Genomic DNA, 13,923 nt, shown 5'->3' on the forward strand with positions numbered 1-13,923 from the left:
TTGTTACAGCTTTAGATATGGAAACATATATTGTTTAGCTCTGTCCCCTGAAAAGGCCTAGAATTCACAAGAGACAAACAGATATGGGCAATGCCAGCCTCCATACTGTGATCTTGAAATCTGTTCCCCAACTAAAATGAACAAACAAAGACAAATAAACAAAATGGGACTTTACTGAGAAATGGCTGATCCTAGATCTGAGTGGAAAGATACAGGAGATCTATCTATCTATCTATCTATCTATGATATATAATAGATATAGGATGAGCCTGGAGCCTCCTGTCATGCCATATAACTATGTTATCAAAGATTTACAGAGTGAAGAAGAGACTCTCTAGAGCCAACGGAAAGAGGATCCCATTGTGCAAAGTTGAGAAAATCAGATCAAGAATAATGCTACAGTTTGGATATTTGTCCCCTCCAAATCTCCTGTTGAAAGGTAATTCCCAATGTTGGAGGTCAGGCCTGGAAGGAGGTGTTTGGTTCATGGGGAAAGATAGCTCATGAATGTCTTGGTGCCATCCCCTTGGTGATGATGAGCAAGTTCTCACTCCATTAGTTCACAAAAGATCCGTTTGTTTAAAAGAACCTGGTGGCTGGGCACAGTGGCTCATGCCTGTAATCCTAGCCCTGTGAGATGCCAAGGCAGAAGGATCACTGGAGCTCAGGAGTTCATGTCCAGCCTGGGCAATATAGTGAGACCGCCATCTCTACAAAAAATATAATTAGCTGGGAATGGTGGCACATGCCTGTAGTCCCAGTTATTTGGGTGGCCAAGGTGGAAGAATCATCTGAGCCCAGGAGTTGAAGGCTGCACTGAGCCGTGATCATGCCACTGTACTCCAGCCTGGGCAACAGAGGCTCTGTCTCAAACAAAAATATAAAAGATCCTGGCACCTCCCCTCCCCTTGCTCTTTCTGTCTCACCCTGTGACACACCTGCTGTCCTTTCACCTTCCACCATGATTGAATCTCCCTGCGGCCCTCACTAGAAGCAGATGCCAGCACCATGCTTCCTGTATAGCCTGCAGAACCATGAGCCAAATAAACTTCTCTCTCTCTTTTTTTTTTTTAATAAATTACAGTCTCAGGCATTCCTTTATATCAATGCAAGAACAGACTGCCACAAACAGCAACAGCAATGAGTGAAAACACATGGAACATGTTAAACCCACAAGCTCATGATGTTGCTGCAAAAATGGAATTGATGGCCTTTGAATGTTAAACTCACTCATTATTTCAAAAATTGGTAGCAAAAGAGAAATAACTGTACTATATGAACTGTCCGATATGAACTGTATCACTACAAAATCAAATAAAACATTAAAGAAATGGCCTTTTTATGAAATTATTCCAGCTAGTAAGGAACATATGGTAGAATTACAGTGTCATCATTTCACTACTTCTAGGAAGATCTTGGTTCTAAGCACTGAGGACCCATGACTGCTAACATCATAAAAAGGGAGACAATGGATCACCATGTGCTTCCTGGTGGGTAAACACCACACCACCTAAGAAACTGCCCCCCTAAATCTGATTGAATATATCAGTCCAACTCCCAGTTTACAGGAAAGATGAGGAACAGAGGAACAGGTTAAACTACACCATGGGGATGCTTTCAGTAGAATCCTAACCACGGGACCTCAGCATGTCAAACAGCCTGGTATCTTCAACAAATAAATTATGCATAAAAGAAAAAAGAGACAAAAGCAATGTCAATTAAAAGAGACTTACGAGACATGCTAAAGTGGACGGAACCAAACTACAGTGCTTAGAATGCACACTTGAGTGATGAAACTCTAAAGGAAAACCAGGGATTGATTATGAAGAAATAAGAGTGGCGGCGACTTCCAAAGTGGAGTGCAGGGTGGTGCCTGGAACAGCATCTGGGAGTGGGGAGCGGCGAGGGGCTGACAATGTCCTAATTCTTGACTTGGATGGCAGCTATGAAAGTTTTGGTTATATTATTTCACTAGGCAGTACACTTTCTTAATGCAATTTTCTGTATCTGTACTATACTATATACTGTCCTATATATAATAAAGAGTATCAAAATATATATTACTATGAAAAAAATTCCATACAAGTGAACACATTTACATTTATTCCACAAACTTTAGAGCTGTGCTTTTTAAAAAAGCCCGTGACTCCCTACTGCGTATCATTAGATGATGCCCTTGGAATGAATGTAAAAATAGACAGCTTTGCAAGTGAGGATGATAAAAAGGAAATCTAAGTAATGTAGAATGAATAGAGCTCTAAATTTTGAAGCGAGGAAAGGTAAGGGGTGTGTATGTGTGTGTGTGCGTGCGTATGCATGCATGCATATGTGTGTGGGATGTGTGTGCATGTAAGCATGTGCATATATGTGCACGTGTGGGGTGTGTGTTCATATGTGAATTCATATGTGAACATGTGTGAATGCATATGTGAACATGCATGTCTGCCAGTAAGAGTGCACATGTGTGTGTATGCATGTGTATAATAATTCCAGCTAAAGCCCACACAGCAGGAGGGGACAATTAACCACTGTGCTACATATATTTCCACAGTCTCAAGACTATTTATTTATTTAAGGTGCTTTGTCTTGATCACATGAGCATATGTGATGAGCCCGGTTTCCTGGTGCACAGGGAAAGAACTGTTAATATGAAACACAAGTGTAAAATTTACACAGCTTCATGTACCAAAAGAAGAACCCTTTATTTAAATCAATATATAAACAGCTTTGGGAATAGTAGTATAACTGGAAACACAATCTGTAGATGTAAATAAATGAGGCTGAATAAATGCTGTGAATGTTAACTGGGGCATTTCCAGTAATATCTATGGGACCTTAGGCAAGTTGTTCCCTCATCTTGGCTGTAAAATGGGAAGATATGAGTACCAACCTTAAAAGGTTTTTTGTTTGTTTGTTTTTTTGGGGATAGCATCTTTTTCTGTTGCCCAGGCTGGAGTGCAGTGGTGTGATCTCAGCTCACTGCAACCTCCACCTCCCAGGCTCAAGCAATCCTCCCACCTCAGCCTCCCAAGTAGCTGGGACTACAGGTGTGCCCCACCATGCCTGGCTAATTTTTAAATTTTTATTTTTGTAGAGACAGGGTCTCATTATGTTGCCCAAGCTTATCTCAAACTCCTGGGCTCAAGTCGTCCTCTTGCCTTGAAAGGTTATTTTGAGGATTAAATAAGATGATGCCTTTGGAAATCACTGGAGAGTCTGATGCATGTTTCCAAAACAAAAGAAAAGCTGGAGGGTGAAGAAATTGCCACTGGGAGTAGTGTAGGGGTTGCTGCCATAGTTCAGGCAGAGGAAGACCCAGCTCTGAGAGCTCAAAGAGATGGGACAGGACAACCGGTTATGGAAGGGTAGGAAGGGCAGGTGGAAGGAAGTCATTGACATGGAGAATGACATCCGGACCAGAGCCAGGTGTGTGTGAGGGCGCCACAGTGAGTTTAATTTTAGATATGTTTCATCGCAGCTGCTTGAAGGTGAGTAGGCAGTGTGTCAGGGAGCCCTTGGGAAATGAGGCACCAGCTCAGGGGACAGGTCTGGGGGAGCACCAGAGTTAGAGCTCAGAGTGTGGTAGGAGCCATGGGAGAGGAGGTCTGTCAGGGAAGGAGGGGCTGACCCAGAAGGGGACTCAGGGCAACAACATCTGGGTCAGGAGAAAGCAGAGAAGGGAGGAGTCCTCCATGCACAGAAATCCAGGAAGGAGGAATTTCTGGAGGAGAGTGGGCAACAGTGTGACACGCTCCTAGGACATCAAACAGGATAGGAGGGGCAGTTAGCCCAGCCATTTGACCATGGACGGTCCAAGGTGACTTTTTAGACATAAGTTCCATTAGAGAACGTTGGGGATTTGAGACACAGACTGGTTGCAGGTTTGGGGGGCGGGGTGGGGGAAAGGGCGCTTGGGCCACCTGGTAGGAGGGTAGTCATAGCTTGAGAAACCTTGGAGGGAAGGGCAGTGAAGGGGGTGGGGGGCATTCGGCTCCTACAGAGAAGTCCTGGCTGCAAGAATTAAGAGGAAGGAATGAATACCAAGCGTCCAGTAGAGGTGACTCTTTGGGAAGGAAGAAGGATTTTGTTCCAAAGAAGAGATGGGGATCACTGTGGATTTTGTTTATAATCAGAGAGTGTGGATGTTGGGGGCATTTTGGCTTATGTTCTTTATTTTTTCTTGTGGAGGAGAGAGCAGAAATCTTGGATTTAATGGGTGGGAAATTTGTACAAATCCGGAGCAGCCACCCAGAAACATATAGAGAAGTTTTGCCGTGTGAATTCATCTTCAGGATAAGCCATGTGTGTTCTTGCTTAGAAGATGACGATGGATATTATGGCCCTGGGGGCCTTTCACCTCCAGATTTGGGAAAATGCCTTTTAAGAACTCTTTGGAGAAAACAGGCTTAAAGAAGATGGGCTGGCACCATGAGGGCTTCTCACCCTAGGGGCAGTCGGTGCTTTATAGACATAACTACAAATTCCACCTCTGAAAATATGCCAGCACTGAACTCAGGGAGAGGAAAAGGCATTTGTTGACAGAGCTGATTGTTAGACACTTTAATTTGGAAAATATTTTGGAGTAGGGATTTCCTTTCAGGTCCCCTAAGAGGTAACAGAAACAGATCTGAAACATCTCCCCTATGTTCTGGAACAAGGCTAAAATGCTTTCATCATTAATTGGATTGTGGTTGGGTTAACAAAGAATGCGTTGCAGCTTCTCTCTCTCTCTCTCTCTCTCTGTGTGTGTGTGTGTGTGTGTGTGTGTGTGCATGTGTGTGTGGTGTGTGTGTGCATGCACACATGTACTTCTTTCTCTCTTTTCTCTGGATAAAGCATATGGCCCGACTTTATTATTCATTAAACATCTTGCCTTCTCCATTAACTTTGCTCATAAAACGTTTTTAAGATTCTGACATGAGAAGGACACACACATTTCTGCACGGCCTCCCCACCTGCACTGGTTTTGTGGTCTGGGGATCCCGGCTTCCTTTCTGTTAAGCCTATTTGGGATGCTCTTCCTTCTTTTAACCCTGTGCGTCTTTGCAACTAGAAAAGGGTGCAGCATTCCAACCTGAATTCAGCTCAGCTGCAGATTTCAGTGTCTAACAGCTCCTGGGAGGACACGAAACAGACTCAGTATTTCTACAAAAAGGAGAGAGGGTGAGAAATTGGACCAACGAGAAAGAGAAAGGGCCACCGAGCTGCATGGAGGAGGAAAGTGAGAGAAGCAACCGGCAATTTCGCAGTCAGAAAGCTCCCTGGCCTTGACCCTTCACCACTGAAAGGCGAGCGGGTTTTATGCCGGAGACACTCACTGCCTTCCTGGAAAATCTAAATAGGGCAGGTGATGGAGGTGGTGGAAACACAGTCCAGATGGAGATGGGCCCTTTCAGTTCTGAGCATCAAGCAGAAATGCCCATGCAGACGGGTGACAGCCACCTGTGAAAATGCCTCGCTGATTAAAATCAGTCTCTGGAGGAACCCCAAAGGACAAGGATCCATTTTGCAGGTCTCATTCGTAGCAAAACGGAACTGTTAGGAACTCAGGATTCTCCTCTTCTGTGCCTCTGGTCTGGCCTGATTTCATGTTTCCTCTGCACTAAACCTTTCTCTCCATACAGATCATGTTCTGTAGCGGACACAGGGAGTGGCTAGAAAGGAGAAGTGAAAAATCCAGGAGCTCTTGTATAAAAACATGGGATCACACGAGGGAATTTAGATGGTTTGGCTTCTTTTTCTCAAAGAGGAGAGAAAGCAGCTTGTCACCATTCAAATTCAGTCTGTTTGGAGGAGTTGTTAAGACTTCCGGAGATTACCTGGCCTCATCGCACCTGCGTCATTGGGACGCTCTCAGATCCATATTTCCAAAGGAGTCCCCACCAGTAGAATCAGTGGATTCTGACTTCTCTCCTAGATTCCAGAAGGAGCCTGATTTCCTAGTGAAGGGGGTTTGTGGTTTCAGCCGGGCCTTCCAGTGAACCTGGGCATTAACCCACTGCAGACATGGTGGGCACCGTGGTGTGGGAGAAAGACCACCTCACAATCCTTGACGCCCTCCCCTCCTCCTGGATGAGGAGACAGAAGGTCAGCATCAGATGATACACAGGGGCCTTGGGATGGATCTCCTGGGAGAGGAGAATGCCCAGCACTTATTCCCAGAAGACACACCATGCCTGATGTCTACTTTCACCAACTCCTGGTAACCATGGATGATAGGACAGCATTTATTTTATTAATTAAACCATAAACAAACTCCACCCTTCCCATGAGCCGCAGATGGATGGCGCTGCCTCTGGAGCAGTCTCCCAGGGTATCTGGAGAACCGAGTCATTTCTCCCATTTCTTTCTTGACACTCCAAGAATCCTCCAACACTTCCATTAGTGCCTGGATGCTAATCTCTCTGGCCTACTCAAGGACTCCCTCCCACCATTCTCCTCTCTCTCTCACCCATCTTTCCCTTTTTTCTCCATCTTTCCCATCAGCCTTCAGATGTGTTCTTAGGCAATCTTAAAAAAATAAAAATAATGGGACCTAATTAAAGAGCTTCTGCACAGCAAAAGAAACTACCAACAGAGTAAACAGGCAACTTACAGAATGGGAGAGAATATTTGCAAACTATGCGTCCGATTAAGGTCTAATATCCAGAACCCATAGGAACAAACAACAAGCAAAAACAACCCCATTAAAAGGTGGGTAAAGGACATGAACAGACACTTTTTTCCATTACAATTAAAATATGTTATTCTTTGATATACTGTTAAGAGGATGAAAAGACAAGAAACAGACTGAGATAAAATATTTGCAAAATACATATCTGATCAAGGACTTGTATCCAAAAATAGACAAAGAACTTTTAAAACTCAACAATAGAAAAGTAAACCACCCTATTAAAAAATGGGCAAAAGATGTGGACAGATACCTCACCAAAGAGAATATACAAATGGGGAATAAACATTTTAAAAAGTCTTATCATCAGACATCATTAGGGAATTGCAAAATAAAACAACGAGATACCACTGTCCGTCTATTAGAATGCTTAAAAGTCCCCAAACCTGGCAATATTAAATACTGGGGAGGATTCAGAGGAACGCGAACCCTCATTCATTACTGGTAAGAATGCAACATAAGTCAGCAACTTAGAAGACACTTTGGCAGGTTTTTTTTTTGTTGTTGTCTTTTGCTTTTTTTAAGCATAGTCTTATCATACAATCAAGTGATTGTGCTCCTAAATATTGACCCATTGAGTTTAAAACTTAAGTCCATACAAATTCCTGGACATAAATGTTTATAGAAGCTTTATAATCACCCAAAACTGGAAGTAATTCATACACCTTTTAATATGTGAATGGGAAATGAACTATGACAAATTCACACAATGGAATATTGTTCAGCAATCAAAAGAAGTGAGTTATCAAGACATGAAAAGATATGAAAGAAACTTAAAGGTACATAGCTAAGTAAAAAATCCCAGTCTCAAAAGGCCATATACTTATATGCTGTATTATTCCCATTACATTACATTGCTGGGAAATGGTGAATTTATAGAGATAGAAAAAAGATCAGTGGTTGCCAGGGGTTTGGGGGTTGGATGGCAGGTGGTGGCGAGGAATAGATGAAGCACAGGGATTTTTATGGCAATGAAACTGCTCTCTGTATGATATTGTAATATGGGATGCATGACATCATGCATTTGCCAAAACACAAATGCTATGCAACACAGAGAGTGAACCTTAAAGTAAGAAAAATTTTAAAAAGTTATTGAAGAGGTCAGGTGATCCTAGTAAAGACTAGTAGACCATGACCAGAAAATCTAACTGTATTATAAATATATGAAACAACCTCACTGAAAAGGGTGTAGAAAAGGTGCTAACCTGTGTAACTTTAGAAATAAATGGAATTTGTAAGACTAAAGGCAAAACTAACTACAGATAAGCACTTTATTCTTGTTGACAGAATTGTTTCCTATTGAAGGTACAGGCTAACAATTCTGATACCACTATACACATATACTTTGAATTGAACAATGAAGTAAATGGCCTATGGTGGGAGCCAGGCTTCTTATTGTTGGAATTGGAGGTTACAGACAAGCAAAGGGGAAAGGCTAGAGTGATCTATGTGGTAAAAGAGCTTCCAATGTCCAAATATGGAACAATCTGAGCAAGAAAATAGTGTTGGATTAAAACCCAAAGTATAAAACAAATATCCATATTTGTTTATAAATATAAAATAAATATTTGAGAAAAACTAGTAAATAGAGGAGAAGAGACAAATGTGTGCAGAATTGCACATCAATTATGTAGACACTCCACCAGTGAGGAGAGGAAGCATAACTCCCTATTCCCTAAGTGTGGGATGATCATATTAACATCCGTCCAAAGACAGTAGGGACAGAAGGAACACATTTGACAATGGAGAAACCTGACAAACGCTACTTTAGACAGATGATGAATGTCAACATCAGCAGGCATTTATCATGTTGATATTATACACCCTTGATATAATGTAATGGAAATGGCACTCTACCTCTGTGATCTTCCTCCTCACAACCCATAACTCTAGTCTCAGCATGAGGAAAACTTCAGACAAATTCCAGTAGAGGGACATTCTGCAATATACCAGACCAATACTTCTCAAAACTGTCAATGTCATCAAACGTAAGGAAAGTCTGAGAAACTGTTGAACAGACACTTTTCAAAAGAAACATACTTGTGGCCAATAAGCATACGAAAAAAATGCTCCACATCATTAATCATTAGAGAAATGCAAATGAAAACCACAATGAGATACCATCTAACTCCAGTCAGAATGGCTATTACTAAGAAGTCAAAAAATAACAGATGCTCATGAGGTTACAGAGAAAAGGGAACACTTAGCCACTGCTGGTGGGAATGCAAGTTAGTTTAGCCACTGTGGAAAGCAGTGTGGCGATTTCTTAAAGAACTTAATACCGAATTACCATTTGACCCAGTAATCCCCTTAGTGGGTATATCCCCAAGTAGTATAAATTGTTCTACCATAAAGACACATACACACATATGTTCATCACAGCACTATTCACAATAGCAAAGACATGGAATCAACCTACATGCCACCAATGATAGACTGGATAAAGAAAATGCAGTACAACTGCTCAGATGATGAGTGCCCTAAAATCTGAGAAATCACCACTAAAGAATCTATTCTTGTAACTGAAAACCACCTATACCCCCAAACAATTGAAATAATAAAAAAGAAACAGCCTAAAAAATAAGAAAAAGTGGAAAGAAAAGAAAACGTGGTACATATACACCATGGAATACTATGCAGCCATAAAAATAACAAGATCATGTCCTTTGCAGCAACGTGGATGGAGCTGGAGGCTGTTATCCTAAGCAAACTAACACAGGAACAGAAAACCAAATACTGCATGTTCTCACTCGTAAGTGGGAGCTAAACATTGAATACCTACGGACGTAAAGAAGAAACCAGCAGACACCGGGTGAAGGGAGGGAAGAGGGTGAGGATGGAAAAACGACCTATCAGGTACTATGCTTATAACTTGGGTGATGAAATAATCTGTACACCAAATCCCCGTGACACACAATTTACCTATATAACAAACCTGCACATGTACCCCTGAACCTAAAACAAAAGTAATAAAAATAAAAATAAATCTCACACCTTCTTGGACCTTGCTCTCCCGTCCAGCTGCTGCACCACTTCCACTTCCCTGCTCAGGAAAGCTCCTGGGAAGCACTGCCCACGCCGGCTGCCTCCTACTTCCTGTCCTTATTCCTCCAGTCAAAGCCCTCCCTCTGCATGCCCATTGGACCTCCGCCAGGAGCTGTCAGGGAGCCATGGGGACTGGCAAGTCTGGGGTTTAGGCTGAGGTTCAGGCTGATGATATCCACTTGGGAGTCGTTGCCAGAGAGGTGGTCATTAAAGCCGTGAGAAGAGATGGACCCCCCGATTGGGGGTGGAGGTGGACATGAGAGGGCTGGCCTGGGCTCTGGGTGCTCCAGGGTCCTCTGGTCCAGGGGAAGAGGAGGGCCCAGTAGGCCCTGGGAGAGAGCAGCTTATAGGGCAGAAGGAAAAGCAAAGGGTGGCTTCCTGAAGCCAAGGGGAAATCACGTCTAAGGACAAGGAAATTCTTCCCAGGGCCACAGAGGGCTGAACGCTCCAGCAGGGAGAAGACTGAGGACCAGCATTGGGTTCTGCAGGCAGAGGCCCATGGGGACCTTGATGGCAGCAAAGCCGGTGGGCATGGGGTCGGGGCAGGAGCTGCAGACAGCCCAGGGAGACCCATTTCAGACTTTGTGAGAGCGTGAGCTGGTGGCGTTTTAATCACCATGACATTTGCAGTCATTTATTACAACAGCAGCAGGAAACAAACAGTGCTCATGATGTCCACATGTCATGAGTGGAGGGTACAACTCACCGACTCCTCTGCAGCTGGTTAAAAATTATAGATAAGGAGATTATAAAGGGAGATAGATAGATAGATGAATGATAGGTAGAGAGATGAATAGATAGATAGACAATAGGTAGATGATAGATGAATAGATAGATGATAGGAAGATAGATGATAGACAGGTAGATAGATAACAGGTTGACAGACGATCGATGAGGAGATAGATAGATAGATACAGATAGATTATAGATAGGTAGATATATGGATAGATAGGTAGATGATAGGTAGATGAATAGATAGATGATAGATACATACATAGATACATGGATGGATAGATAGAGCTGGATAGATAGGTAGAAGATAGATGAAGGTAGGTAGATAGATGATAGATGAATAAATAGACATAGATAACTTATAGACAGATAGGTGATACATGATAGATGGACAGATAGATGATAGATGACAGGTAGGTAGGTAGAGCTGGATAGATGATAGGTGATAGATAGATAGACAGATATTAATATAGATAGAGATGATGATAGAGGGGATAGTGATGGAGATGCAGGTGTGGTGTAGACCAAGTTGTAGATATGAACACACATGCAGCCTCCAGGCTGGATGGAGATGATGGTAGAGGTGACAACGATGGAGACATAGGTGTGGGTGTGTAGACTGGGTTGTAGATATGAACACACGTGCAGCCTCCGGGCTGGATGGAGATGATGATAGAGGTAATAGTGATGGAGATGTAGGTGTGGGTGTGGTGTAGACCAGGTTGTGGATATGGACATACAGCCTCCTACCTGGATATAGATGACGATAGAAGTGACAGCGATGGAAATGCAGGTGTGGTGTAGACCGAGTTGTAGATATGGACACACATGCAGCCTCCAGGCCGGCATCATTGCTTCTGCTCTTGGTAGCTGCCGCAGCTGCCTGTCCACACAGCAGCCCTGGTGGTCCTGTAACAGCCCCATCATTTCCTGTCACTCCTCTGCTCCTCACTTCCAGTAACTCCCCACCTGACTTAGAGCAGAGGCCGTGGCACCGGCAGGGTCCACACAGCCTCCTGTGATCCGGGCCTCAGCCCCTCCTGCTTTCCTCTTGGCTAATTCTGCTCTAGTTTCCACAGATCCTTCCAGGGCCAGGTTGGCCTACCTCGGGGCCTCAGCAGGTGCTGTCTCCTCAGCTGGGATGCTCCTCCCTCCAACCTTTGCCCAGCTGGTCCCCTTTCCTCCTTAAACCCTGCTCTCATGTCACCTTCCCCAGGAGGCCTCTTCTGCAATCGCTGTCCAGAATTTCAGCCTGTGACCCCAGCTCCCTGTCTTCATTGCTTTTATGTCTCCAGAACCCTGTCCTCATCTAGCACATGAGAGACGCTAACTGGGATCACACTGAACACCTGTGTCCATGCCTGCAAGGGTGGGTCAGGGAGGCAGGGGTCTGTGTGTCTCATTCTGCGTTGGCATCTCAGTGCCTTGAGCAGCACCTGGCACACAGTAGGGGCACAGGAGTCACTTGTTGAATGAATGAATAACATTATAATTTATCAGCTGGGTTTATTATAAACACAGTATGGTCATGACAATAGATTAGAAGGTTCTTTTTAGGATAAAAGAAGAAAGAGATGATATACTCAATGGACTTTGGCGAGCTTAGCACTACAGCGTGCTGAAAACCCAAATAAAGAAGCGTCCTTATTCCTTTACATACAGTCCTCTTTTAATGTATCATCAAGAATTGTGTTATTTGGGGACACAGAAAAATTCAAACACTTTGATCATGATCCATTCATTGACTTTTCAAGAAGAACCTTAGAAGGGATTTTGACTGTGTTTGATGTACCTGATTAGAAAGCAAAGCCTCCCCTACCTAAACTTCCATTGTAAAAGCCCAAATCTCACAGAAGTGCATCCTGCAGACTTCAATGGGTTCGTCCAAGGAGCAGGTTTTGTTCATTTGGAAGAAAATAGTATTTGCAGGATTTTGAGAGCACATAAGTTCAGCACTACTGGGTTCAAATATGCGCAACAGACCCACCCACTCCGATGTGTGCTCCCTTCCATCTCAGAAAGGGACAGGAGTCCTGCCACTTCCAGCTCCCACTCCACTTGACAGTCACCCGTTTCCAATCTCAGGAGTCTAGGATGGTCTCACTTCGATCTTTCATAAGAAGGGAGAGTATTGCCCACTCATAAGAAGGGAGACTGTTGCCCATTTGGATGGGAGCATGCATTTTCCATGGTGCAGTGCAGATGGGCATGGCCGCAGAGCACCAGCTCCCATCCTCTCTCCCCTCTCTATGCTGTTTACCGTTCCAGGGCTGAGGGCCCTGGTTACAATTCCTTGACACCCACTGGCAGAGTGAGGTGCTTCATAAGTACACACTAAGTATTGCTCAGTGATCCCAATAACTGCCCCAAACAGCAAATGCAGGGTGAAAGCGAGCACAAGGGATTCTCCATAAATAATAATAATAACAGCCTTTATTATCTCCCAGGTGCCTCCTTGGTGACAGGCCCTCTACATGCTGTCCCCATTACATCTTCCCGACAACACGAGGTAGAGGTGGCTCCTGATTATAGACCAGGAATCTCAGGCTCGGAAGAACCCGGGAGCTACCCAAAGCCCTCAGCAGTTGAGTGCAAGAGCTGCAAGTGTGAACCTGGACTCTGTCTCCCAGGGTCACGGTCACAACCCATATATGAACATACCACTAACCTTTGAAGGTCTTCTGTGTATGATTCAAACTGAGCCTCAGAAAGACACCATGCGGTGGCTGTTTAATGTCTCGTGTTTCCTCATGCTTCTGTAACAAGGTAGCACAAATGCAGTGACTTAAAACAACAGAAATTTGTTTCTCATATTTATGGAGACCAGAAGTCCAAGATTGAGGTGCCACTGGAGTTGGTTTCTCTGGAGACTCTGAGAGACAGTCTGTCCCACACCTCTCTCTAGTGCCTGGAATTTCCAGCAATCCTCACTGCTCCTTGGCCGGTAGACACCTCACTTCCATCTGTCTCCCTCTTCACATGATGCTGGCCTCTGTGTCTCTTTGTGTCCAAATTCTTTTCTTCTTCTAAGGACCCCGATCACTGGATTAGGGCCCACCGCTCATCTTTACGAATCACATCTGGAAAGACCCTCTTTCCAAACAAGGTCCATTCTGTGTTTCCTGGTGAGCATGAATTTTCAACCCAGCACAATTATTATACCTCCAATTATCCCCATTTCATAGATCAGGAGAATTAGAGGAGCTGGACTTTTACAAAGTTGCTTTGCCCAACTGACATATGGACTGAAGCCAAGGCTTTCTAACCCATGGTCTGGTCTTCTGCTGCTTGTCTTAAAAACAGCGACAGTCCAAGGGGTTCGCATTCTGCAAGAGCATGCTGGGCAGAGATGGATTTTACTCACCAGAAACTGAAGTGACTTACTTGCAGCCATGATCCGGAAGAGAAGCTTCATGATGTGGTTTTATGAGGATCTTGTATCTCCCTCTTACCCAGAAGTAAACACCTTCACTTGA

At 43.9% G+C, this 13,923-nt stretch overlaps 1 annotated feature.

Annotated features, from left to right (window-relative positions):
• Positions 12,245 to 12,414: an enhancer, noted in NCBI's record as "experimental_25789 CRE fragment used in MPRA reporter constructs". NCBI's record gives its function as "activates a minimal promoter by MPRAs in K562 erythroleukemia cells, with activity observed for both the introgressed and non-introgressed 12:130728096 variant alleles {active_cell/tissue: K562}" and the evidence as "EXISTENCE:reporter gene assay evidence [ECO:0000049][PMID:34662402]".

Source organism: Homo sapiens, chromosome 12 (genome assembly GCF_000001405.40).
Source record: "Homo sapiens chromosome 12, GRCh38.p14 Primary Assembly".
Taxonomy (NCBI): Eukaryota; Metazoa; Chordata; class Mammalia; order Primates; family Hominidae; genus Homo; species Homo sapiens.